The following is a 27,710-nucleotide window of genomic DNA, read 5'->3' as shown; positions in this document are numbered from 1 at the left end:
ATCCAAGTTTCTTCATTTTTATAAATTTTAAAACCAAATAACTATTTTGGAATTCAGTTATTAGCTCCCCAAGGGGTAAACATCACTTAAATTTCTGGAAAATAACTTCTGCATATGAAAGGCCAGATTTTTCCTGGCTGAACTTCCCAAAGACACAGTTTGGCTAGAAATTAGATCAATAAAATGGTTATGAACATAGTTGCAGAAAAATAGTGTATGTAACTGGTTATGAACATACGCTCATTTGTGTAACTCGTTATAAACATACTTGCAGAGAAATAGAGTGTATATAATCTCAACCAAAGGCACAATCTTTGACTAAATCTTTAACATTTGCTTTAGACAACATAAACCAATTTCTCACAACCATCCAAGAAAATATCTCTTCAGTTTCGTACCTCTTCTGTTGTGCACAATTTATCAAGTAAAGCATGGATATGCCTCCTGTGGTTCAAACCATGGTAGCACATCCATTTCATACGATGAGCTACTGCATTCATGACATGTTTTCTTTTTCAGTTAAACTTTACTCCTATTGAATTATGATACAAACGTCATATGACTTGTGCAAACTGCCTCTGTGGGTTTACATTTTGTAAACCAAGTTCAGTGTTAACATTGATTTGCTGGAGTACCTCCTGCAGTCCTGTTTATAAGCACTTCACTCAACACACAAAAATGATTTCCTGATGTACCCACTGCTGTCACAATGTTCAAAAGTTATTCAAGGCCAGTCACAGTGGCTCACACCTGTAATCCCAACACCGAGAGGCCAAGGTGGGAGGATTGCTTGAGGCCAAGAATTTGAGACAAGCCTGGCCAACACAGCAAGACCCTGTTTTTTTTTTTTTTTTTTTTTTTGAGACGGAGTCTCGCTCTGTCGCCCAGGCTGGAGTGCAGTGGCGGGATCTCGGCTCACTGCAAGCTCCGCCTCCCGGGTTCATGCCATTCTCCTGCCTCAGCCTCCCAAGTAGCTGGGACTACAGGCGCCCGCCACTACGCCCGGCTAATTTTTTGTATTTTTAGTAGAGACGGGGTTTCACCCTTTTAGCCGGGATGGTCTCGATTTCCTGACCTCGTGATCCGCCCGCCTCGGCCTCCCAAAGTGCTGGGATTACAGGCGTGAGCCACCGCGCCCGGCCAAGACCCTGTTTTAAAGAAAGTTTTTAGGCTGGGCGCAGTGGCTCACGCCTGTAATCCCAACACTTTGGGAGGCCGAGGTGGGCGGATCACAAAGTCAGGAGATGGAGACCATCCTGGCCAACACGGTGAAACCCAGTCTCTACTAAAAATACAAAAAAATTAGCTGGGCGTGGTGGTGGGTGCCTGTAGTCCGAGCTACTCGGGAGGCTGAGGCAGAAGAATGGCATGAACCCAGGAGGCGGAGCTTGCAGTGAGCCAAGATCGCACCACTGCACTACAGCCTAGGCGACAGAGCGAGACTCCATCTCAAAAAAAAAAAAAAGTTTTTAAAAAGTTATTCAGGCCGGGCGTGGTGGCTCATGCCTGTTATCCTAGCACTTTGGGAGGCTGAGGCGGGTGGATCACCTGAGGTCAGGAGTTCGCGACCAGCCTGACCAACATGGCGAAACTCCATCTCTACTAAAAATACAAAAATTAGCCGGGCGTGGTGGTGCACACCTGTAGTCCCAGTTACTCAAAAGGCTGAGGCAGGAGAATCACTTGAACCTGGGAGGTGGAGGTTGCAGTGAGCCGAGATCGTACCATTGCATTCCATTTTGGGCGACAAGAGCAAAACTCCATCTCAAAAAAAAAAAAAAGAGTTATTCAAACACTTAAAACCTTTCTGATACCACAAATGACTATAGCTACCTGGGTGGTATTTATATATTTTATATCTCTACTCTTATTAGCTTAAAAAAAGCTACAAATAATTTAACCTTTTCATGAAACTTTGTATAAGTCCCTTCACCCCAGCGTCACCATACTAAGAAATATTATACCTGGTTAAACTTCTATTTGCAAATATTAGTTTCTGTTCAGGACACAATTTTTGCTACAGTCAACCTTTTTATAAATCCATCATTGGCACAAGGTTTTCATGCCAAGAAAATTTTTTCATTAAATATATTTTGCACCATTACCACTTACTGTATTTTTATGAAAAAAAAATGTGCTGTAATTCTAGTCCCTGCTTTCAGTTCATTGAGTTTTTCATTAAGCTAAGTTTCTCATTACATGTCTTTACTATTCTGGTCATATTTCTTACTGTATTTTGTTTCCAAATAACTTCCTAAATTGTGCAATTAGTCCATTAATAGTTGGTGTGCAGTATTAGTCATGTAGTAACAATCTCTACTTCCACAAGGACATGTGCTCTTCTTTTGAAACACATGGCTATGCAGTCTTTCACTGTCCCATTTATAATAAAGAGAAAAACAGTATGGTGATGTGATGATAAATGGCAGCTCCCCATCAATGTTAGGGAGACATTAGGTAGTGGTGGGAATTACGACAAACTTAAGAACACTTGCCCAATGGCAATGGCTCTCATGAATTAGAAGTAGGTTTATCTGAAAACCCAAAATAACATAGGTACAATAGAATATAAGTTTATTTTGATAAAATCCAGGAAAGTAGTCCTCAGTTGGTATGCTGGTTCCAAGATCATCAGGAACCTAGGCTCTTTCTATCAGATGACTCTTGCACCCTCTCTCAACAGCTTCCTCCTTGTGGTACAAGGTGATTGCTTTAATCATTATATCCACATTCCAACCCCACAAGAAAGAGAAGAAGGAAGAAGACATGCTCCCTCGCTTTGGGAACACTTCCCAGAGGTTTCACACACCATTTTCACTGACATCCTATTGGCCAGAACTCCTGGTCACAGCTAACTGAAAAGGAAGCTATCTTTATTCCAGGTGGCCATGTCCTCAGTGAAAACCTGGGAGTTCCATTACTATTCCCAAAAAAGAAAACAGAGACTGGGGAGTAATCAACAGTCTATGGTATTTGACTACTCAGCTCCAGCTAACTTACACCATGTGGGAATGTGGGCCTGTTGTAGCTAGAAATGCTCATTATTCAAAGAGAAATGAAAAATTCATATTTTTATATGAAACTGTGAAATTTTCAGATGTTGACAAGCAATTCAAAAAATTTTCATAGCCTAAACAACTCATAAATCCAATAAATCTTAGGGGTGGAAAGACCCTTACTCACTAAGGAAACAGTTTTACCAGCTCAAATTCATCTATTGAATCATTCATTCACAAGTTGAGCTCCAACTAAGTGCCAGTGAATAAAACAGACCAAATCCTTACCTATGCTCAAACATTCCCCTCGAGAGTGGATGTTTATTAGCATGAATTTAAAGTTGTGACTGCAGAAATAGGCATAATATAAGAAAGACGCAGGCTTGAAAAACTGAGCACATATGGCCTTATTATACTGAAGTGGAGGAAAAAGACAATGTAAATGTGTAAAATAAGGTATATTATTGAAACTACAAAGGAGGAAAAAAAGGCAGAGAAAAGGAATGGGAAGTGGGAGGAGGGAATAGCATTAAAATTTTAGATGGGGTATCCAGGAAAAGCTTCATTGAGAAAGGTGAATTTTGAGTAATGACCTCAAGGAAGTGAGGGACTTACCCATGTAGATATCTCAGAAAAGAACATTCCAGACAAAGGGAGTATCAAGTATAAAGGCCCTTTGAGATAAGAGCACAATGGCATGTCCAAGGATCAGCAAGAAAGCTGAATGGAGAAGGATAATTAGGGGGATAGTGGTTACAGATTATCTCAGGTCAAGAAGGGCCTTGTAGGTACCTATAGGGCTGATAGGAAGCCATTGGAAGGTTTTGAGCAAAGGAGAGACATAATCTGACTTTGGTGTTAACAGGGGAACTCTGGTGTCAGAGTGGGGATTGGCTGAAGGGAAGTGCTATGGTCTGATTGTTTGTGTCTCCCCTAAATCCATATGTTGAAACCTAATCACCAAGGTATTAGGAGGTAGGGACTTTAGGAGGTGATAATGTCATGAGAACGGAGTGCTGCCTTTTCCCCTTCCACCACATGAAGACACAGCAAGAAGGCACCACTATGAACCATACAGCTAACTAGTCCTGACCAGGCACCAAATCTGCTAGTGTCTTGATCTTGGACTTCTCAGCCTCCAGAACTGTAAGAAATCAATTTCTGTTGTTTAGAAGCCACCCAGCTTAGTATATTTTGTTATAGCAGCCCAAAGAGACTAAGGGAACAATAAGCAGAATCAAAGAAATCAGTTAAGAGGCTATTGAAATATTCCAAGCAAGAGATGACGGTGGCGGTACCAACATGATGGCAGTGGAGATGGTGGGAAGTGGTTTTAGATATATTTTGAAGAGTTGGCAGAGAGGAAGAGAAGAGTCAAAGATGACTCCAAGGATTTTGGCCTGAGCAACCAAAAGAATAGAGTTGCCATTGAATGAGGTAGAGAAGACTACAAAAAGGGGAAATATCAGTGGCTCTGTTTTGGACATTTAAGTTTGAGATACAAATTATTAATCAAATGGTGAGGCCCAGTGGGCACTCAGATATACAAATCTGGAATTCAAGAAAAAGATACAGTCTAGAAAACACATTTGGGAATCATGACTATAGAGATGGCATTTAAGCCTTTTCTTACTCAGATCACGTGAAGTATGAGTGCAGATAGATGAGAGAAGACAGCTAAGAACAGAACCTTGGAGCACTCCAAAATTTAGGGGTGGAAGATGAGGGAAAAATTGGTGAAGAACCTGAAAAAGAATTTCCAGAAAAAGGAGAAGAGCCAGGCAAGTGTGGTATCCCTGATGTCAAGTGAAGGCAGCATTTCAAGAAAACCGTAATCAACTGTGTCAAATGATGATGATAGGTCAGCTAAGATGAGGACTAAGACGTGACCACTGTCTCATGCTCGCAACAACTACATCACCCCTTAGTCCTGGCAGAGGAGCAAATTTCTCCAGAAAGTTCTTCCCTGCCAGAACCAGTTTGAATTAGGAGTTTCTCTTTAGTGTTCCTTTGGCATACTTTGCTTATCTATATAATAGCATTTAATTATTTTTTAAAAAATGTATTATTGTTTGCCAAGTGCTACTCTAGATGGGCAACTGTTTTTAAAAAAAAGGTCAAAAATTCTCATGAAGCTTTCATTTTAATTGGGGTGTGGAGAGGGGCAGACAATAAACAATATTTCAGAGGAAATGTGTATAGTATGTTAGGTGATAAGTGCTACGTAGAAAAATAATGTAGAAGAGAGGAATAGAGAATGTGAGGAGTTTTAGTTTTAAATAGCATGCTCAGAAAATGCCTCTCTGAGCAAACATCGGGAGGATTTAAAAGAGCAAGTCATGTGGGTATCTGGGAGAAGAGCATTCTAGGCAGAGGGAACAAGCACAGAAGCCCTGAGGCTAAAGCATGCCTGCCGGGTCCAAGAGATAGCAAGGAAATCTGTGTGGGTGTATCTGTCTGAGCAGAAAGGGAGAGTAAAGGAGATAAGGATAAAAGGTAATAGGGAGAGGTGGCAGATCACAAAGGCTCTTGTAGGTCATTGAAAAGACTTTGGCTTATTTTTCAAACAAATGGAAAGCTTGGAGGATTTAGCAGAACGTCCTGAGGTCAGTCTGGTCATTGTTTTGATAATAAACTCTAAGGGCAGAGGACAACAACAGAAGCAGGGAGCTAGTTAAGAGGCTACTGTAATAAGGTAAAGTTAGGAAAACTAGTCCATTAAGGAAGAATATCAAGAGGTTGTCCGCCCTTACCTAGCAAAATATCAAGGAAAGGCCAAAGGAAGAGCTAACCATTTCCTGCTTTCTGCAGGGTGAAACTGTAAATCCTTCTCTGAGTACTATCTTCTCTGAGTATTTTATCACTTGAGGCAGGCTAACAGTTGTAACAGATTAACTACAAAGTTTCAGAGGCTTAATGCACTATAAATTTGTTTATAATTCCTAGAAGATCCTTCCCCTCCACAGGGTAATTTGAGAACACAGAATCCCTTCCATCTTGTGGCTCCACCACATTCAGCATATAAGGCTTCCTTCAGGGTGATGCAGGAGAAAGAACACACAGGATTTCACCTGTTAAATGTGAATGAGCCAGGCCTGGAAGGGACAAGCAACACTTTGCTCGAATTCCATTGGCCAGAATTCACTTTCATGGCCACTGCTAAACTGTAAGGAAGACTGGGAGATATAATCCAGCTGCGTGCCCAGGAGAAAGAGGAAACAAATCTAGTGAATAGCTAGCCATCATCTGCTATAGCTGTGAGTGGGCATGCTTTTCATTTCTACTCAGGAGGCAGAGGTTGCAACGAGCTAAGATCATACCACTGCACTGCAGCTTGGGTGTCAGAGCAAGACCCTATCTAAAAGCAACAAAAACAACAACAACAACAAGTTGGTGTGGTGGCTCATACCCTCATACCTGTAGTCTCAGCTACTCGCCTGAGGATCACCTGAGCCCAGGAGTTTGAGGTTGCAGTGAGCTATGACTACTGCACTGCCCTCTAGACTGGACGACAGAGCAAGACCCTGTCTCTTAAAAATAGGATAGAATATAGAAAAGAATCTGGCCATTTCTATGCCCATCACTGTTTTCCCTTACAATAACTATTTTCTTAAGCTTTCTGAACAAGTCTAATTTTTCCTCATGCTAATCTAGAAAAAAACAGCTGAAACAAATGAGCTGTAACTAAATGACTCACAAACTTTGCTTTGGGGGATATGTCACAGCTCCTTCACTCTCATTTCTTAGAATGCTTTATCTGCACAATTGCTTAAAAATAGATAGGGAACTCATTTTAAATGCATTAAATGGATATATAAAACCAAGAACAACAGAGATAAAAGATACCATTTTTTAAATCACATCCATTTGCAGGGTCAGGTCTTGATGATCTATGCCAAAGAAAAAGAAACATGAGTAATATAAAGCAATTCACAATTTCTTTTCTTCACTTAGGAAGTCAGTCATGGCCAGGCACAGTGGCTCACGCCTGTAATCCCAGCACTTTGGGAGGCCAAGGCAGGCGGATCACGGGTCAGGAGTTTGAGACCAGCCTGACCAACATGGTGAAACCTTGTCTCTACTAAAAATACAGAAAAATTAGCCGGGCGTGGTGGCACGCGCCTGTAATCCCAGCTACTCAGGAGCCTGACGCAGGAGAATCGCTTGAACTCGGGAGGTGGAGGTTGCAGTGAGCTGAGACCATGCCATTGCACTCCAGCCTGGGCAACAAGAGCGAAACTCTGTCTCAAAATAAAAAAAGGAAATCAGTCACTAACACATATATGCTCATCTCTACTCAGTCTGATTTTAAAAGCTGGCCTCCACTGTCATTTATGCCAAAAGTAAACATTGATTGACTGACTACAGTAAACACTGATTAACTGACTACAGATTATACCATGATAAATCATTTTGAAAACATACCTTAAACTGTAAAATAAAAACATTCTAATAACAGTTTAAAATGTACATTTCAATCAAAGACTATGTTCCTTGGACAAGTAAAAATAATTTGACTAATTTGATATTTTTGTATGCACCCAAGGTTCACAAATATTGTCTAATAAATATAATCCCCTAGGTCAGGCTCGGTGGCTCATGCCTGTAATCCCAGCACTTTGGGAGGCCAAGGCAGGTAGGTCATCTGATGTCAGGAGTTCAAGACCAGCATGGCCAACATGGCAAAACCCCGTCTCTACTAAAAATACAAAAATTAGCCGAGCATGGTGGTGGGCGCCTGTAATCCCAGCTACTCGGAGGCTGAGGTGGGATAATTGCCTGAACCTGGGAGGTGGAGGTTGAGGTTGCAATGAGCCAAGATTGCGCCACTCCACTACAGCCTGGGTGATGGGGCAAGACTCCCATCTTAAAAAAAATAAATTATATATATGTGTGTGTGTGTGTGTAATCCCCAGTGCCTCGTTTTGCTTACCACAATTTTATTAGGATAGCATTGCTATGGTCTGAATGTTTCTGTCCTCCTAAATTCATATGTTCAAACCTAATCACCAATGTGATGATATTAGGAGGGAGGGCCTTTTGGAGATGATTAGATCATGAGGATAGGAGCCCTCACACATGGTATTAGTGCCTTTATAAAAGAGGCCCCAGGTTCTCCTTTCATAGAGCCATCAGGGCTGGGTTCAGTGGCTTATTCCTATAATCCCAGCACTTTGGGAGGCCAGGGTGGGAGGATGGTTTAAGCCCAGGAGTTCGAGGCCAGCCTGGGCAAAATGGCAAAACCCCATCCCTACAAAAAAATACAGAAATTAGCTGGGTGTGGTGGTGCATGCTGTGGTCCCAGCTACTTGGGAAGCTCAGGTGGGAGGGTTGCTTAAGCCCAGGAAGTTGAGGCTGCAGTGAACTGTGATTGTGCCACTGCACTCCAGCCTAGGTGACAGAGTAAGACCCTGACAAGAAAGGAAGAAAGAAAGGGAGGAAGGGAGAGAAGGAGGGAGGGAGGGAGGGAGAAAAAGAAAAGAAAGAGCCATTGATAAATCAAGAAGGACTGCACCAAACACTGAATGTGCTAGCTGCTTGATCTTGGGCTTCCTAGCCTCCAGAACTGTGAGAAATCCATTTCTGCTGTTTATAAGCTACTCAGTTGTGGTAGCAGCTTGATCAGACTAAGACAAGAAGTCTTTTGGAAATATTCAAAACCTATAAAAAATTTAAGAGCTGGGCATGACGGCACATGCCTCTAGTCCCAGATACTCAGGAGGCTGAGGCAGGAGGATTGTTTGAGCCCAGGAATTTGAGGTTGTGGTGCACTATGATTGCATCTGTGAATAGCTGCTACACTCCAGCCTGGGCAACATAGTGAGACTCCATCCCTAAAAAAAATTTTTTTTAACAGAGTATCATAGAATATGTAAAATCTAATATGTAAATCCTAATGTTTTTATAAAATCTTCTAAAATGTGATAGCCTATTAATAAAAGTATTCTTTGTTTTTTTCTTACCCCAAATTGATAAGCCTTTCAATCACTACACTAAAAATGTAATGATTATCCAAGAAAGTAATCATCCAGGATTGATAATAAAGTATACAGGCTATCTCTCCAAAAGCAGGCATATCCAGGGAATAAAAATAAAATATACAATGTTAAAAGACACAGATAAAACTCATTGAAATTCTTTTCATTGGTTATTTCATTGCCATCCAAAGTATGGCTGGCCTTGTACTGGAGGGGCCTCAAAATTTGTGTTTTTTAGCATTTATCCTCAGTGATTATTAAAATCAGGCTAATTTGGGAAACACCACCCTAGCATAAATGAAACTCCTCCAGGAAAACAGAGCCTCCATTTGATAAATTGTTATGTAAACCTATGAGGTACATTAGACATCAGTTAACTATTATTACATAAAACTTAGAGTAACACATAGCACAAAAAAGTTATGAGTAACATGCAGTATAAATAACATATAGTGTCTAGTACAAAGTCCCAAAACTCATGAGAGTTAAATGGAGTTTTAAAGTGTAAATATTTTTTATGTTTTCTTGTTTATTGTTTCCATTAAATTTCTAAAATAGTTTTTCCTGATGGTATATTATTTACCCATGCAATAAAATGTAAATTATGATAGTAGTTTTATCTCTTTGAAGAGCAGTTTATTATTATGAAATGTAGGACATGAGAATTTTAACTAGATACTATTATGTTAGATTTGGCCTTCACAAAACTGTGATATCAAGATAAACTGATTGAATAAACATTCAGATAATATAGTTGGCACAGAAAGCATTTTTATAATATTTGAAGTCAGATCAAAGTTAATTTCATGATCATAATAAGTGGCAATTCTTCACAGTCAAAAATCATGAGTATTTTCAAATAACTGAGGTTTACAGGAAAATAATTATATTGATTGTTATAATAACTTGAGGGATGTTCTCATTCTGTATCTCACATTGTCTTGGAGATATTAATTTTACATATATCTTAGATATGTGAACAGGATTACCAGAAAGAAAATGATTTTTCTGAAACTCATAGTTTGCATTTCAATGCCAAAAAAAATTAAAAGGATGAAGCCTTTAAGTCTGGCAGGCTACAGATACCTTGTGGTAAAGAAACAAGATGTGGGAATGGTTGATAGTCATTTACTCAATGAACCTATCATATTGCAATTATGTTCTTCCTCTGATGATATCAGAGTTATCATTATCTCTCAGAGTTATCATTATGAAATCTATATAAAAAAATAGGAAAACATTTTAAAGCATTTAAATATGAAACTCACAAAAGTACATTCCACAACTTTTCTAAATTTCTTTTTGCCATCTACATATTTATTTAGCACCCACTGTTTGTAGGCTAATATCCTAGGCACCACAGATATAAAGAGAGAGTAGATAAAATATCTTCCCTTTAGGGCTTATAGCACAGCTGGGGAGGCAATGATAAGTATCAGAAAAGATAGGTCACATGTAAGGTGTCTCAGCAACTCTTAACAGAATCAGTTAAGAGCGTGTGTTAAGATGCACATTCCTTGGCCCACTCTCCAGACTCACTAAATCAGCATCTCAAAATAATTTTCAGGAACTTGCATAACATCCCAAGCATTGTGACTCTCAGTAAAGTATAAGAATCACTGGTAAAAGTTAAATCCATATGATACTGACATAGAGTAAGAAGTTGACAGGGTTCAATTTTCTCTTAAAGAATAAAATATAGTGAAAAAAATTGTAATTATTCACAAGGGTTATCGTTGCCTCAAGAGAATACCAGAGGCACTCTACAAATTACTAATAATTTAGTAAAGACAAAGGATTTACAACCATTAAACAAAAATTAGCGTTCTTATATTTACATTTAGAAAATGTAATTTAAAAATACATATACCAGGCCAGGCACGGTGGTTTACACCTGTAATCCCAGCACTTTGGGAGGCTGAAGAAGGAGGTTCTTGAGACCAGGAGTTTGAGACCAGTCTGGGAAACATAGCAAGATCCCGTCTCTACAAAAAATTAAAAAATTAGCCCCCCATGGTGGTGCATGCCTGTAGTCCTAGCTTCTCTGATGCTGAGGCTGGAAGATCGCTTGAGCCCAGAAGTTCAAGGCTGCAGTGAGCTATGATTGTGTCACTGCACTGTAGCCTGGGCAACAGAGTGAGACCCTGTCTTAAAAAAAAAAAACGTTGATAGTAGTGGCAATAATTATAAGGTTCCTAAGAATAAGCATAATAAAATATGTGAAAGACCAACTATGGAGATATATGTTCATGGATGGGTCACCTCAATATCATAAAGATGACAGGTTATCCCTAAATAACTTTAAGACAATTAAAATAAAAATCCTGCCATAGCTTTTCATTGAAAACAAGAAAGAAAGCTTCTTTTCACATTTACATAAAATAGTAAAAGTAAAAGAAAATATAAGGCAGGACACATAGACAGTGGAATGGAATCAAGAGCCTAAACACAGAACCCCGTGTGTGAGAATTTAGCAAATGGGGAAAGGAGGGATAATCTCTTCTCTATTCTCACTCTTGGTGCTCTTAGCCATTCTCATGCCTTTCAGTGTCATCTGGAAACTGACTACATCCAGATTTATATTGCTAGCCCAGACCTCTCTTTCTTGACCTCCAGACTAGTGTAATCAACTACCTACTTGACATTCATTCCCATTTAGATAGGTAACAGGTATCTCAAATTAAAGCAATGCCAAACAACTCCTGACCTGCCCTTCTCCCTACATTTTTCTTTCACAGTTTTTTTTTCTTTCAGTAAATGGCATTTTTTTTCTTCGAGTTACCCAAGGCAAACACCCTGGAGTCATCCTTGACCTCTTTTTTCTCTCTCTCATAGCCCATATCAAATTCTCAGGAAATCCTGTTAATATTACCTTCAGAATGTATTTTTTTAAATCTTCTTTCACTACTACCAACTTGGTCAAAGCCACCTTTATCTCTCATCTGGATTTCCCAAGAGCCTCCTGATCATCGTCTTACTTCTGTCCTTCTTCTCTGCCTCCATACCCCATGCCCTATTCTCAAAAAAGTTGCCAAAATACTCTTGAAAATGTCAAAGTATGACAGTTTTTTACTCAAAATGCTTCCTTAACTCTTTGACCTCATTTCTTACTGTCCTCACTCACTGAAATTCATCTGACATCTCCCCTTTGCTGGTCTATGAATGGAATATCCCACACCACACCCCCAGAGCTTTTAGCCTTGCCATTCCCTTTGAGTGGAATGCTGTTACTGGATAGGCACACAGGTGTGTCACCTTACCTGTTCAAAATCTGGGCTGAAATGCCTGCTTCCACTGGGGCCTTCCCTAACCACTTTAACATTTAACACAACTCCCCACCTCCAAAAGTCTCCATCCCCTTCCCTTCTTTATTTTTCTTCATAGCACTTATCAAACCCTGAACATCACATTTTTTTTCTTTTTTTTCCTCTTTTTTTTTTTTGAGACAGAGTCTAGCTCTGTCGCCCAGGCTGGAGGAGTGCAGTGGCGAGATCTCTGCTCACTGCAACCTCTGTCTCCCAGGTTCAAGCGACTCTCCTGCCTCAGCCTCCCAAGTCGTTGGGACTACAGGCACGCACCACCACACTCGGCTAATTTTTGTATTTTTAGTAGAGACGGCGTTTCACTGTATTGCACAGTCTGGTCTCGAACTCCTGACCTCACGATCTGCCCGCCTCGGCCTCCCAAAGTGCTGGGATTACAAGCGTGAGCCACTGCGCCTGGCTGAACACTACATTTTTTTTACTTCTTTATTCATGTATTGTCTGTCATCTCCAACTAGAATGAACGTATAGTCCCTGAGAACGGGGAATTTGTTATCTATTGAAACTTCAGGGCCTGGAACATAGCAGCACTCCAGTATTTGTTAAATAAATGAATCCATTTGAGCTTCTGCATATTTGAAATTTCATAAGTATATATAAATGGTAAATTGTGATAGACTCAAAGGCTAGTATCATTAGGCAATTGTCTCCCGTTCCCAAAAGACTTCCTAAGTCTACTAAATGATCTGTTTTTAATATGAAAGCAAAGTTATCTAAAAGAAAGGAGAAATCTTTAGTTTTTTTGACTTCGAGATTCTTTGCAATTTAAGCTTTTTTTTTTTTTTTTTTTTTTTTTTTTGCTTTTCTTTCAATGGACACTTTCGAAGTTTTACATAAAAACATTAAAACCTCTTGTTTAATGTAGTGGGATTAAGCTGCCGAAGGCAATCCCTACATGTGAGGAAAATATGCTTCCGACACCCCAATTTTTTTTTTCTCCCTACCCATCCTCTCTGGTGGTCCTGACGCTCCCAGCCCCTTTTTGTGTTTCTTGATTCCATGCTGAGAACTCGCAATACAAACTCAAAGCCCACATTTGTGAGGTGGTTGGGTCAGGACTGCAACTAAAAATGATTATTGTTTTTTAGGTTTCTGGACAGTTCAACACCAGCCTTTGGTTTTGCCTCAGAAGCAGGGAACTTCTCTAGGCCCCTATTTTGCCTTTCAGCTATTGATGATCCAAATCATACCAGCGATTAGGAGGATCATTACCAGACACAAGGCCAGGTACGTTTAAAAAATAAATAAACCAAGCGCAGGTGCACACTCCGAACGCTCATCCCCACCCCCACTTTCCAATCCAACAGTAGGTAACGAGAAATGAATTTTCTAGACTTTTTTTCCTGCAGCAGTTGCTGTTACCAGAAACAAAGTTAGATGATATACAATCTAATCTTCATTGCTCTAAAAGTCCTCTCCCCATGCCCCCCAGGCTGCCTCAATTCTCTAGTTTCTTATTCCTTATAAGCAGGGGATGGAGCTGAACCAAGTCGGCCTTCCCCTCCCAGGGCCTTCTCCTCTTGGTCTGGCTTCCATTTCAGATGCGAATTAACCCTCCCAATACCCTTTCAGAAGCAAGGAGTCCCCTTTTTCTCCGCCTCCAGCCTCAGCTAGGTTTTCCTCATTTCGGATTTTTCTACTGCTCATTCCCAAATGAGTCACGCATGACGACAATTTCCACTCTGCTATGTCAGCCTGGAGATGTCCCCCAAGTGATGGCATCTGCTCTCGGAAAGAAAGGTCATCGGTGCCACGACCAGCCCCGCTAACCCAGAGCGGCCGGTGGGCCCCAGTCCCGAGAGTCAGGGCGCGCGGCGGAGGCGAGGCCGGGGCGGCCTCCGCCCTCCCGGCCGCTCCCCCTCGCGCCGCCCCGGCTCCTCCCTCCGGCCCTCGGCGGGCACCTGGCGGCGGCGGGCAGGGGGCGGCGCTGCGCGCGTCACGCGGCTGGGTGGGATAGCGGGCAGGTGACACCCGGCGGCCTCCTCCCCTTTCCAACCCAGTCGGCGGCCGGGACAGCGGGGGCCGCTGTGAGGAGCTCCGCGCTCGCGCTGCCAGTCGCCGCCCTCTCTCCCGCGCGCGCCCGGCGCTTCGGCTCCGCTCCCTGTGCGGTGAGTGCGGGGTTCCAGGCCGGCGGGCAGGGGCCAAACTTTCCCGGCGCGCGGAGGAGAAGAGACTGGGGAGGGAGGCAGAGCCGAGGGGAACGGCGTCGGGAGTGGCCGGATGGAGGAACTTGGGCGCGGCGCGCGAGAAGTGGGACCCGGGTGCGGGGGCCCCGGGAGCGGGGCCAGGCCCTCCCTGGGCTCGGGAGGCGCTTGGGAAGTTCTGTCCCCGCTGCCTGCGCGTGGGGAGGACCGAGGCCCTTTTCGCCGGAGCGCGGGGCCGCGGCGCTCACCTGCGCCTTCTCGGGAGCCCCCACCCGGCAGCATCCCGAAGGGAAGGTCGGGCCCGGTGGGCGCGCTGCGGAGCGGAGCCTGGACTGGGGTCCCGCGCGGCGCTGGCCCTGCGGAGCGGAGCGGGAGGGGCAGAGGTGCTCGCCGGCGGGACTGGGAGGGAGAAGGACCTGCTCGACCTTGGACGCGGAGGTCATTTTCCCAGCTCCGGGGTCTGGCCTCGCTAGCCACCCCCCCAAATTCCGGAGCCCCTTTCTTTCTGTTTCCTTCCTTCCCCTTTGGGCGCTTTTTTTGCTCCCGCGGCCAGATGAACTTGGGGCGCTGTCCCTTCGGCTCCCCGAGCCGCATCCTGTCTTGGTGGCTGCTGCTGGCCGGGAGGAGGCTGATGAATACAGAGCCGTGGAACAGGTCGTGCCGGAGATGGAAACAGGAAAGCCTGTTGTTTTGTCGTCCCAGGTATCGTTGGTTCTTTGGGAAATGGGCTTTCCCAGGTTCGTTGGGAAATGGGCTTTCCCAGGTTCGTTGGGAAATGGGCTTTCCCCCTTCAAGTCAGAGCTGTTTCAAACTTCACCCGGTGCGGACAGAGCGCTCTTTGGAGCTCCCTGGGGAACTCGGGACGGGAAGGAGCGGGTCTTTACACCTGTCCTGCTCCCAGTGTAGTTAGTCCCGCGTCGACTGAAGAACAGTTTTAGCGACCCGAGTTCCTCGCCAGTGGTCTTTTCCCTCTTGCTACGATCTCCCCTCGGAAAGCATGTTCACTTAACCCTGTGCTCTCGGATTACCCTTTATTTCATTCCTCACTTTTATTGCTTACGTGCTCCGAAAGGGTCATCGATACCTGGTGGCTGCCTCTGCGTTCTTACCACGCACCCGCTTATTCATTCCCTTTCTTTGTAGTTTCTCTTCGTACTACTGATCAGAAATTGGTCTCCCCAAGGTCACCGAGAACTAAATAAAATCCACCCCTCACCCCGTGGCAGACATTTATCAGTGCTTAGGTGCCAGGCACTGATGTCAGTTCTTGTGTAAAAGCTTTTAATCTTCACAACGATCCTGGGAAGTAGATATTAATATTATTCTCATTTTAATGATGAGGTAACTGAGGCACGGAGAGGTTAAGTAACTTGCCCAAGGCCACACCCATCTCAGCGGTAGGAGATTCCAGCTCTGGGGTTCTGTCTCCAGCACTGGAGCTGTTAACCACTGTCCTACACTGCCTCACCTAGAGTTCGTTTGCTCGTCCTTATTTTCTGAAGTCCCGTGCTGTTTCAGGCATCGTTGACCAGGCTGTCAATCTCAGGTCCCTCTTTTCCTTCTTATGTGTCTTTATACTAGTTTAGGATCCCCACACCCTCCCCCTGCCCCCGCTTTTTTTTTTTTTAAGAAAAATAGATTTTTGGGACTTTGTTACTTCATCTATCACCTGTATTTATCTGGCTTAAGATTCTGTGCTTTCCATGTCTTCTTCAGTTTTAGTGTAACGTCTGTCAGTGCACATTATAATATTCCGCTTGGACTTGCCCGGCTTTTCCCCAAAACAGCTCCAGATGCTCATTTCCATTAAGGGTCCTGCCATTATCCTGGTCTCCAAGGTGCCGTGCCATTCCTCTCCCATTCGTTAAATATCTTCTATCCAATTTTTACATGGTGTCTTCTAGCCTTTATCAGTCTCGCCCACTCCCATCCTCTCTTCACCACTCTCCCTCTTCCCCACTTTGAACACATATGCCCTTCTCTGCTATTTGTTATCATCTTTTATGTTTGCTTTGCACAAAAAGATTGCAAACAGCTTAGGACATTAAATCTTCAGGCCTTACAGCTAGTAGTTGCTTGATAAATGTAGAAGATGATACAGTATAAATTTTGGTAGCACACATCAGGCAGGTTTGATGATGGAAATTTTTAAGCCAGGTTTTACAGGAAGTTACGGAGTTTGCATTGGTAAACGTGTAGGAGCTGGTAGACATTGTACATGAAGGGGAGAAAAGCCTGTGTTCACTCCATTGTCACAAACAGGTACCCAGCTGTTCTGATGAAACATTACATTTAGAGGTATAATGAAGCAAATCAGCAGAAAACCATTTATCCTTATCTTGACAAAACAAAATATGAAAACACATAAAGTTAAAAAAAAACCTTTTTATTGAAAAACGTAGCACATACATAAAAGTGCATAAAACATAAATGGACAGATTAACACAGTAGATGTATTCAGCAATAGAACGACAGTGTTATTCTGGCCATAGATAGGCTACAGTCAGGCCAAATAGGAATCTTTTCACAAAAACCTGTATAAGGTGAAGTGGGCCTGGACTGCTCCCAAGAGGCATTGCCAAGAAAGAATTGGCTGTGCATGGAGAGGCTTGAGGAGAGAGAAAATAAGACTGGAAATTGGTACCAAAAGGATAAGATCAGGGAGCCAAGAAGAGAGTTCAGACCCACTGAACATAATTCTACCACAATGAATATTTAACCAGGTTGCCTTTGTCTCTCTCTTTTTTTCTATGCATATTTTCCTTCATCATACTCCATATAGTATTTTAGTATTCTCAGGCTGGGCACAGTGGTTCGCCCCTGTAATCCCAGCACTTTGGGAGGCTGAGGCAGGTGGATCACCTTAGGTCAGGAGTTTGAGACCAGCCTGGCCAAAATGGTGAAACCCCATCTCTACTAAAAATACAAAAGTTAGCTGGGTGTGTTGGCACATGCCTGTAGTCCCAGCTACTTGGGAGGCTGAGGCAGGAGAATCGCTTGAACCCAGGAGGCAGAGGTTGCAGTGAGCTGAGATCATGCCACTGCACTCCAGCCTGGGCAACAAAGGAGACTCTGTCTTAAAAAAAAAAAAAAAAAAAAAGGAAAGTAATTTTTTTTAGTATTCTGTGTTTTCCATATAATACCTAGTAAGCATTTTTCATCTTATGTAATTTTCAGAACTCATATTGTTTGTATTCTAGTAATTATAATGTGATTTACTTAACTAAAACTCTATTGTTGGACAAGTATATTAGCAACAAATTATAAACAACCTAAGTTATAGTAATACTTATCTTTGCAGTTGTATCATTTTACAAGTTGGGACTCATTTCCTAATGATACTGTTCCAGAAGTAGAATTACTTCGTCAGCAAGTATGGTCATTTTTATGGTTCTCAATACATGCTGTCAGATTTCTAAAAGCGATTTTAAAAAGAGGATCAATGCATTTTACCTAACTTCTCTCTCTAGGAAGTAACAGCAATTCAATTAAACATGAACAGTATTATTAAATGTTGTATTAGTTTCCTCAGGCTGCCATAACAAAGTACCACCAACTGGGTAGCTTGAAAAAACAGCAATTTATTGTCTCACAGTTCTGGAGGCTACAAGTCTAAAATTAGGGTGTCAGCAGTGTTGAACCCTTCTGAAAGCTCTGAGGGAGAATTTGTTCCATGCTTCTCCTAGGTTCTGGTGACAGCAGCAATCTCTGATATTCCTTGTGCTGGCATCACTCTAATCTCTGCTTCTGTCTTCATATGCATTTTCCCTTTGTGTCTGTGTCTTCACATAACCATCTTATAAACACACCAGTCATATTGGATTTAGGGCCCATCCCACTCCAGTATGACCTCATTTTAACATCTGCAAAAATTCAATGTCCAAATAATAGCACACTGTGAGGTATTGGGGGTTAGGATTTCAACATATCCTCTTTGGGGCACACAATTCAACCTGCCATAGGGTTTTCAAATGTGCATAAAAGAAAGCGCCTATCTGCAAATAATTTCTAGGCAAATTGAGAAAGTAGGATTTTTTCTAATTTTTGAGATTTGTTTATTCTCCATGATGTGCCACTTGTGCTTATCAGTTTTAAGATACAGAAGGATGCTCTTTTCTCCCCCCGAGACAGGGTCTCTCTCTGTCACCCAGGCGGGAGTGCAGTGGCACAGTCATGGCTTTCCGCAGCCTCAATCCCCAGACTCAAGCAATCCTCCCACTTCAGAGTCCCCAGTAGCTGAGACTACAGACACATGTCACCATGCCTGGCTAATTTTTTGTATCTTTTATAGAGACAGAGTCTCACTATGTTGCCCACATTGGTCTTGAACTCCTGGGCTGAAATGATTCTCCTGCCTCAGCCTTCCAAAGTGCTAGGATTACAGATGTGAGCCATTGCACATGGCCTGGAAGGTTGCTATTTACCAAACACGGAATTCCGGAGCCATGGTAAATGGTAGCATGTTAAACTGAGAATAGCCAGAATTTCAAGAAGATACATCACGTAGCATGGAAAGAAGCATGCCATAAACACACTTTTAGAAATATGTCTTACATGTGTTTCAGTGACTCATCCAGTTTTGACCATGCACAGTTGCAAAAAGTTGAAAACTAATACCAGTTGGGCATTTTATATCACTGGTCTTTGAAAAAATTTGAAATTTCCATTATTCCTAATTGATTTCTAAAAGTACATATTATTACATTGGCAAGTGAAATCACTCTTTTTGTAAATGATAGAAGTTGGCATACCATCATAATTTCTTTTCCTTTCTTTTTTTTTCTGAGACGGAATCTTGCTCTGTCGACCAATAAAGTTGTGCGATCTTGCCTCACTGCAACCTCTGCCTCCCAGGTTCGGTGATTCTCCTGCCTCAGCTTCCTGAGTAGCTGGGACTACAGGCTCATGCCACCATGCCCAGCTAATTATTTATTTATTTATTTTTGGTAGAGATGGGGTTTCACCATGTTGGCCAGTCTGTTCTCGAACACCTGAACTCAGGTGATGATCTGCTCACCTCAGCCTCCCAAAGTGCTGGGCTTACAGGCGTGAGCCATCATGCCTGGCCCATCATAAATATATATATATATATATTTTTTTTTGACACTGTTTTGTTCTTGTCGCCTGGGCTGGAGTGCAATGGCGCTATCTCTGCTCACTGCAACCTCTGCCTCCTGGGTTCAAGTGATTCTCCAGCCTCAGCCTCCTGAGTAGCTGGGATTACAGACACTCACCACCAAGATGGCTAATTTTTATATTTTTAGTAGAGACGGGGTTTCACTATGTTGGCCAGGCTGCTCTTGAATTCCTGACCTCAGGTGATCTGCCCTCCTCAGCCTCCCAAAGTGCTGGGATTACAGGCAGGAGCCACCACACCTGACTCATAAATATTTTTAAACAGACTATTATTCAAATGAGATAAGTTTCCACATAGCTTACAAATTCCCCATGTTAAAGACAAATCTTAATCAATCTGGATAAGCAGCTACTTAAGCCATGAACACCAGCAGCCCTGCTTCTTGGACTTTCTAATGTAGGGTAAAAGAGCCAAACCTAGATAAAACTGGGGAGTTTCAGAAGCTGCACACTCAACAAACATTTGAGTGTTAGCTTTGTGTCAGGCAAAGGGGCTGGCAGATTGCTAAAGCCAGTCCAGGTCCATGTGAGTTATAGACAAGTAAATGTAAGTTACAAAATTACAGTTCAGTATGATAAACTGTGCTGTGATATACACAGACCAGGTCCTGGGGAGGCAAGGCAGAGGCGGGCAGACAGGAAGTCCTTCTGAGAGGAAAGAAGGAAGAGTGCGAGTTAGGGCAGCTGAGAAATGGGACGAGGAGTGGGAAATAGAATCTAGGGAGAGAGTGCAGGTGCGATCAGGGAGATGCAGATACTTTAAAGTAACTAGGAAGAGGGTGTGAGTTGAAGTTGCCTAGGCATGCAGAGGCCAGGCTTACTGAGAGCATTTTTTGACCCCATAAAGGTTTTGGATTTTATCATAATGTCAGTGGGGAATCCTGGGAAGCCTGTAAGAAGGAAAAGGATGTGTTAAGATTTGAATCTCTCTGGCGCTTGCCATTTCACCTTTATGAAACCTCTCCTCCTCCCATCAGGCCTTTATCTCATTTCCCTATCTGATCTGGAAAGGACAGCTACCTTCCTTGTTTACATTAGATATCTTTTTTTTGAGACAGAGTTTTGCTCTTGTTGCCCAGGCTGGAGTGCAATGGCATGCTCTTGGCTTACTGCAACCTCCCGTGTTCAAGCAATTCTCCTGCCTCAGCCTCCCGAGTAGCTGGGATTACAGGCATGCACCATCATGCCTGGCTAATTTTGTATTTTTAGTAGAGACGGGGTTTGTCCATGTTAGGTCAGGCTGGTCTCAAACTCCCGACCTCAGGTGATGCACCTGCCTTGGCCTCCTAAAGTGCTGGGATTACAGGCATGAGCCACTGCGCCCAGCCTACATTAGATATCTTGATTATGCTTAGCTTGCATGTGAATTTTGAAACAGAAAATCAACTTCATGGGCATCATCTGTACCTCTGTCCTTACAGGATACTCAAGGCTGCATTTACATTTAAAACATCTTATTGAAAATTATGGGGTGAAAGGTTTGTCATCTTTTAGGCATAAGTAATAGTTGCAATGAATCTCTCTTTTTTTTGAGGTGGAGTCTCACTGTGTCACCCAGTTTGAAGTGCAATGTTGTGATCTTGGCTCACTGCAACCTCTGCCTCCCAGGTTCAAGCAATTCTCCTGGTTCAGCCTCCTGACAAGCGCCACCCCCACCCCCCACTCCCCCCCCACCCCCCCGCCCTACCACGCCTGCCCGGCTAATTTTTGTATTTTTAGTAGAGACGGGGTTTCACCGTGGTGGCCAGGCTGGTCTCGACTCCCGACCTCAGGTGATCTGCCCGCCTCAGCCTCCCAAAGTGCTGGGATTACAGGCGTGAGACACTGCACCCAGCCTGCAGTGAGTCTCTTTACTTGTATTTTCTAATGAATCCTTTGAAGCCAGCAAAGTCTGGCTCATCATATGCACAGGTACAGAAAGGTGAAAAAAGCAGAAAGGGTGCTCAGGCTACACTGGTAGAAGTATGCAGCCAGGATTTAAACCTAGGTGTAATTACAAGGTTTAGGCTCTCCCCACTCTGAATACTAACTCTCTGGGTTGATATTTTTGAGAATATAGGAGGCCCTAGGACTCTGATATCTTACAATAGTTTTGTGAGGGCGTAAGGGCAACCATAAAAATAAACCCAATTTAGATTTTTTAGTGTCAATGGTAGAAACGTGAGATCTAGACAAAGAGAGTTTCACTAGCAGCCCTTAATCTAAATACAGCCCCATCCCCCAACTCTTCTCCTTCTTTCTGTCCCAAATTTTTGGGTTTTGTCCTAATAGCACGCTTGTGATTTGTTTGTGTGTTTATTTTAATTAAATGCTCTAACAAGGGCAGAACAAAAGTAAAGGGCACTTATTACTTAAGGGTGACTTATTTTAAGTCTGTTCAGGGGCTTCTCTGCCCCTCAGAGTCTTACCTGTCTTTTTGTACCTTCTTCAGGCAGACAGTGCTGTGTTGCATCCTGTAGGACAGAAAGATTTATGTCTCAGAAATAAACCAGCCAACGAACAATGTTGACCCACATTTTAATCCCTTTGCTGCTTATCATTCAGTTAGCTAGAAAGCACAGCTGATAGCTTCATCCTTCATCCTCTTCTTCGTGTGTGACTAACAGGTGTGACTTTAACTTGAAGAAAGAAAGAAGATAGAAATGGCATTCCTAGGAATCCAGAGTCCAATGACGAATTATTCAGTAGCTTAGGGTGAGTTCCTGAGCCAATGTGGAATGGAATTTTTTAAATCAAGCTGTGAGAACCACTATTCATTCTTCTAAAGGAAAAAAATGGTAGTGGATGTGATATTTAACATAAAATATAGTCAGTGTTTTTAAATAAAATGTGTATATATATATATGGTTGAACATATGCAATTGCCCTTTCTGTAGGTGAATAAACAGTTGGATGTTGGCAGTTTGCATATGGTTCATCCTGATTCAAATACAATACCGTTGACATCTAACAGTTGACCAATGAGCCTATGCTCTTCATTTCCCTATAAGCACATGGGGTGGTGCCCAGGCATGATGAACAGTGGCTTCTAGTAGTCTTCTTCCTTCTCCAACTGCTGGGTTATTGGCTTAACAACAATTTATTGTATTTATTGCAAACATGTTAGTGCCAGTTATATTTGTTATTGTGATAGATAATTTAGATATGCGTGAACTTATGAAACGTAAGTGCAAAAAAAGAATATTGTTATTGTGAAAGGAATGTTGAATTCTTTGGAAAGGTTCCATAAAAGTGAGTCACTAAGGGGTCAGGAAAACTAAAAAAATCAGAAAGATGGCTGGGTGCAGTGGCTCACGCCTGTAATCCCACCACTTTGAGAAGCCTAAGTGGGAGGATCACTTGAGGACAGGAGTTGAAGACGAGCCTGGGCAACATAGTGAGACATCCATCTCTACAAAAAATTTAAAAAATAACTGGGTGTGGTGGCATGCGTCTGTAGTCCTAGCTACTCCAGAGGCTGAAGTGGGAAGATCCCTTAAGTCCAGGAGGTCGAGGCTGTAGTGAGCTGTGATTGCACCACTGTACTTCAGCCTCGATGACAGAGTGAGACCCTGTCTAAAAAAAAAATTCAAAAATAAAAACAGAAATTGTAAAAACTTGAAAAATATCCTGAGCTTGCCTTAAAAGTGTGTGTAGTTGTTTTATTTTGTTTTGCTTTGTTTTTAATTCACTTAGAAAGTTAAAACTGGAAATTGTAGATTAAGTTCTAGGTATGGTTTATAGCAGAAAAATATTGGTGAGGAGCTCTTCCTCAAGTACAGTCTTGGGACTACTCTGTCTTTTTTTTTTTTTTTTTTCAAGATGGGATCTCACTGTGTCACCCAGGCTGGAGTGCAGTGGCTTGCTCTCAGCTCGCTGCAACCTCCACCTCCCGGGCTCAATTGATCCTCCCACTTCAGTCTCCCGTGTAACTGGGACTACGGGTGTGTGCCACCACGCCCGGCTAATTTTTGTATTTTGGTAGAGACAGGGTTTTTCTGTGTTGCCCAAGCTCGTCTTGAACTCCTGAGCTCAAGTGATCTGCCCGCCTTGGCCTCCCAAAGTGCTGGAATTACAGGTGTGAGCCACTGTGCCCAGCCCTTGGGACTACTTTGGAAAATTGGAGAATTAATGCCTATTTATATATTTTTTTAAAAAGTAAGTGTTTATAGTATCTAAATAAATTTTTCATTCTTTGCTATAAATAAATTTTTAAAAATCAACTAACCAAAACTAGTCAGAATTCCTGCTCCTGTTAGTCTGACTGTAATAGTTTACGCTATAGTGTAGTAAGTAGTCAGAACCTTCACTTAGCATTCCATACTAATGGTATATAATCAACTCATACTTCTTATTTTATATCATTTTTTGAGAGACAGGATCTCACCATGTTGCCCAAGCTGATCTCAAATTTCTGGCATCAAACATTCCTCCCATCTCAGCCTCCCAAGTAGCTGGGATTACAGGTGTAAGCTACTCTGCCTGGCTCATGCTTCTTATTTTAAATTGGGCTTTCATTAATAACATCTATATAACATTTAAGTTTATTTTAATAATGTGAACCGGTCGGGCGCAGTGGCTCACGCCTGTAATCCCAGCACTTTGGGAGGCCGAGGCGGGCGGATCACAAGGTCAGGAGATGGAGACCATCCTGGCTAACACGGTGAAACCCCGTCTCTACTAAAAATACGAAAACAAAATTAGCCAGGTGTGGTGGCGGGCACCTGTAATCCCAGCTACTTGGGAGGCTGAGGCAGGAGAATGGTGTGAACCTGGGAGGCAGAGCTTGCAGTTAGCCGAGATCATGCCACTGCACTCCAGCCTGGGCGACAGAGCGAGACTCCGTCTCAAAAAAAAAAAATAATGTGAACCAATATGTAGAACTTAGAGCTGCTTCCTACCTGCATTTAATGGCTTACATAAAAACTGAAAGCAAAAATATATCATTAGCTAGAGTTTATTAAACTTGAAAAATTTATTAGTGTTATTAAGCTGACAAGTTGAATTGGTCAAGGTGTAACTTATTTTAGATTCAAATAGTAATTATAAAAGTATAGTTATTCTTTTCTGAAGTATTAGTAGGTTGATGAAAAAAGGCCAAACTTATAAAATGAGAAAAATAAAATTATATTTTATAATAATAGCAATTATTAAGCACTGGCTATATTCCAGCCACTGTGCTAAAGTCTATTTATGCCTTATCTCATTTAGTCCTCACAGAAGCCCTAGAAGGTGGTATTCTTCCCATGTTATAAGCAAGGAAACTGGTGCAAATAGAAGTGAAGAACCTTGCCCAAGGTCACATGATTAGTGATAGCACTGGGAATCACTAATCTAGTTTAGTCTGAACTCCAGTGCTCATGTGCTTACTACTTCATAACTTAGTACTTTAAAACTGAATTTAATTTCTAATGTAGGTTTAATTTTTTTTTCTTTTTTTAGTGTAAATAACTTATTTGGGAGATAATCCTAGATAGTACCAGAAGTTGGGGAGTGGGGAAGTGAGACAAGAAAAGGAGGCGGCCAACACAGGGAGTGTTAATGAAGAGTCTACTACCTCTGTGGGCACCTGGCGCTCAGTCCCACAGGACATCTCTCAGCATTGTCCCACCCAAGGATCTGAGAATTGAAGCCTTTGCTGGGTCATGGGCATGTTGGTCATTTTTCAGAGAAACATTAGTGTTTTGAGCTGCAAAGGACCTGAGAGGTCATTCAGGCTGACCTCTTATACTGTTGAGGACACGAGGCCATTTCGTTTGGCCAAGACCACAGTCCTGTTTAGTATTTTGGGACCAGAAACAAGTTCTCCCAACTAGAGCCCAATTGCTTTTCTAGCTGATAATCATATTTTCATCATTAGCCTTATTTCTGAATATGACTTGACACTGAATTTTTGAAGCTCTTGGATTGCCCCCCTCCATCTTTGTCTACAAGTAACATTAATTACTCCTACAGAGGTTACTGTAGAATACGGCAGGGCGAGGATTATGCTTCCCCCATGTTACAAGTACAGAAACTGAAGCTCAAGTCAATGCAATGCTGTGCCTAGTCCTGAGGCCCATGTATTATAAAACCTAACCCTGAACTATGAGTAAAGGTGTCAAAGAAAAAACTGTATTATTTTAGCAGAGGTGACTAAATTACCTAGCCCAAGCCATGGACTTTATCTAACAGCCCTCTTCCTTTTCTTATTCTCTGCCCTTAGCACTTGAGTTTATCCCCATTAGGTGACTGCCTGAGTATCTCACTCATGGAAGTGGCATTTTTGGAATTGGGAAGGGGGAAGGTTAATGGAGAGTTAGTGCACATTGCTTTGATCTGCACTCTCAAAAAAAAAAAAATTCCGGCTGGGCGCGATGGCGCACGCCTGTAATCCCAGCACTTTGGGAGGCTGAGGTGGGCAGATCACAAGGTCAAGAGGTCAAGACCATCCTGGCCAGCATGGTGAAACTCCATCTCTACTAAAAATACAAAAATTAGCTAGGTGTGGTGGTGGGTGCCTGTAGTCCCAGCAACTTGGGAGGCTAATGCAAGAGAATTGCTTGAACCCAGGAGGCAGAGGTTGCTGTGAGCCAAGATGGTGCCACTGCACTCCAGCCTGGGCAACAGAGCGAGACTCCGTCTCAAAAAAAAAAAAAATCTATCAATCCCCAATCCTTAGGTTTTACTATTTCATCAGTAGACAGAGCACAGAGCAAGTAGGAGTTGCCATCTACTTATTAACAGGCAAATATATGTTGCTGCTTAATTCTGATTGCAACACTGCCTGTTGTGTGTGCTCTAAATTCACTTTTAGAGACCAAAAATTCTGAGGCTCCAAGAAATTTAAGTGATTTTCCCCAAGGTCACCTGAGTGGTGGCTGGCAGACCTGGGTTCCTGGAATACAAAGATTCTGACTATACATCCTGCTGCTTACTACACGTTGCCTTAGAGTTTATTTTCTTATCTTCAGAAAAAAAGTGCTGGTTTGGGAGAGGCAGCTGATATGCTTATGAAATAGTAATATTGCAGATTTTAAATATGATCATATATAATTCACATTCTACTTTTTTCCCAGAAAGACTTGAAATGCTTACAATAAATATATTAAGATCCAAGCATAGAAGGGGAAAATCTAGGTAATGCAGTTGTGATAAATGGAACACTAGATTTTAACAGTTAGCCCGGAGCTTATATTGAAAGAGTAACCACAACTCTAATGGTTTGTTTTTTGCTTCTTTAAAAGCATAAATATATAAGGTACTTTTTGTCCTAGAAGTAAAGTGCAAAAGGAATTTATCAAATTGGCCCTAATAAAGAGGATCTTGAATCGCTTTATGGATAATACTTTAACAGTTTTGCTAAAGATGCAAAGATATTTTAAAAATTAATATTGGTTCTTGATAACTCACGAATTGTGGATGTTAATGAAGGTAAACTCTTTGAAAGCATTTCTCTAAAACCTCCAGGGCTACGCTAATAAGATTCTCCTGATGATGTATACAATAAATACTCTAGCACTAGACAGAGAAGAACCTTTTAAAACTTGAGGCTGGTCTATGGATGGACTTCAGAAGGTCCATAAACTCCCAAAACATCACATTTGTGTATACATGTAATCTCTGGGGAGGTGGCCTATAGCACCATAGTCTCAAATTTTAAAAGCTATTAATTTAGAAAGGGATGAAATAATATATGTAAAATGCTTAGTAAAATTTAACTTACTGTATACATTATAAAGGATTGGCCTTTAATGATAATATTGAAATTAGGCAGATTAGGTTAACATGAACCAACTGTACAGACTTTATCCATGTTATAAGGACATGATTATTATAGACAGACACTAGAAAGAAGGTAATCTCCTGTGTCCATAGTAGTTTCATTTCTGTTGTCCTAGTTGTCTAGGAAGAAAGGTTTTTACTTTTTAAATGTTAAATCAGTATTCATTCATTTATGTAATAAACATTAGCTATTTGCAATGTGTTAGACACTGGACATATGAAATATAGAAGTCATTTCTCCTCATTTTTTCTCTTTCTCTTGCCCATATGTGAATTAGCAGCAATCATGTCAGCTGTGTCAACAAAATCCATCCTGAACCATCTACTTCAGTAAACTTCTACTCCTGCTGTATTCCCATAATCAATTCTCTACCAAGCAAAAATTATTTT

The 27,710-nt window shown here is 42.0% G+C and overlaps 1 protein-coding gene across 8 annotated transcripts in view, besides 3 other annotated features; it reads left to right on the top strand.

Annotated features, from left to right (window-relative positions):
- Nucleotides 14,075-14,374: a silencer, noted in NCBI's record as "silent region_16042". NCBI's record gives its function as "represses an Ori minimal core promoter by ATAC-STARR-seq in GM12878 lymphoblastoid cells {active_cell/tissue: GM12878}" and the evidence as "EXISTENCE:reporter gene assay evidence [ECO:0000049][PMID:35858748]".
- The window catches only part of ELOVL7 (ELOVL fatty acid elongase 7), a 92,479-nt gene continuing 79,064 nt past the window's right edge, over nt 14,296-27,710 (top strand). For 5 of the 8 annotated variants that reach the window (NM_001104558.2, NM_001297618.2, NM_024930.3 and 2 more), the window contains exon 1: nt 14,296-14,405. Coding sequence is in view for 1 of the 8 variants with exons in the window: in XM_017009888.1 (XP_016865377.1) it covers nt 14,518-15,143 (626 nt within the window). In the remaining 7 variants the exon portion in view is untranslated. Of the gene's footprint in view, nt 15,144-27,710 lie in introns of all 8 variants that reach the window. The other 3 variants (XM_005248606.6, XM_017009888.1, XM_011543651.4) reach the window with 3 other exon arrangements.
- Nucleotides 14,395-14,554: a silencer, noted in NCBI's record as "silent region_16041". NCBI's record gives its function as "represses an Ori minimal core promoter by ATAC-STARR-seq in GM12878 lymphoblastoid cells {active_cell/tissue: GM12878}" and the evidence as "EXISTENCE:reporter gene assay evidence [ECO:0000049][PMID:35858748]".
- Nucleotides 14,565-14,624: a silencer, noted in NCBI's record as "silent region_16040". NCBI's record gives its function as "represses an Ori minimal core promoter by ATAC-STARR-seq in GM12878 lymphoblastoid cells {active_cell/tissue: GM12878}" and the evidence as "EXISTENCE:reporter gene assay evidence [ECO:0000049][PMID:35858748]".

This window comes from Homo sapiens, chromosome 5, assembly GCF_000001405.40.
Source record: "Homo sapiens chromosome 5, GRCh38.p14 Primary Assembly".
Taxonomy (NCBI): Eukaryota; Metazoa; Chordata; class Mammalia; order Primates; family Hominidae; genus Homo; species Homo sapiens.
The sequence above is the reverse complement of the archived record's forward strand: the minus strand, read 5'-3'. Positions and strand labels throughout refer to the sequence as shown.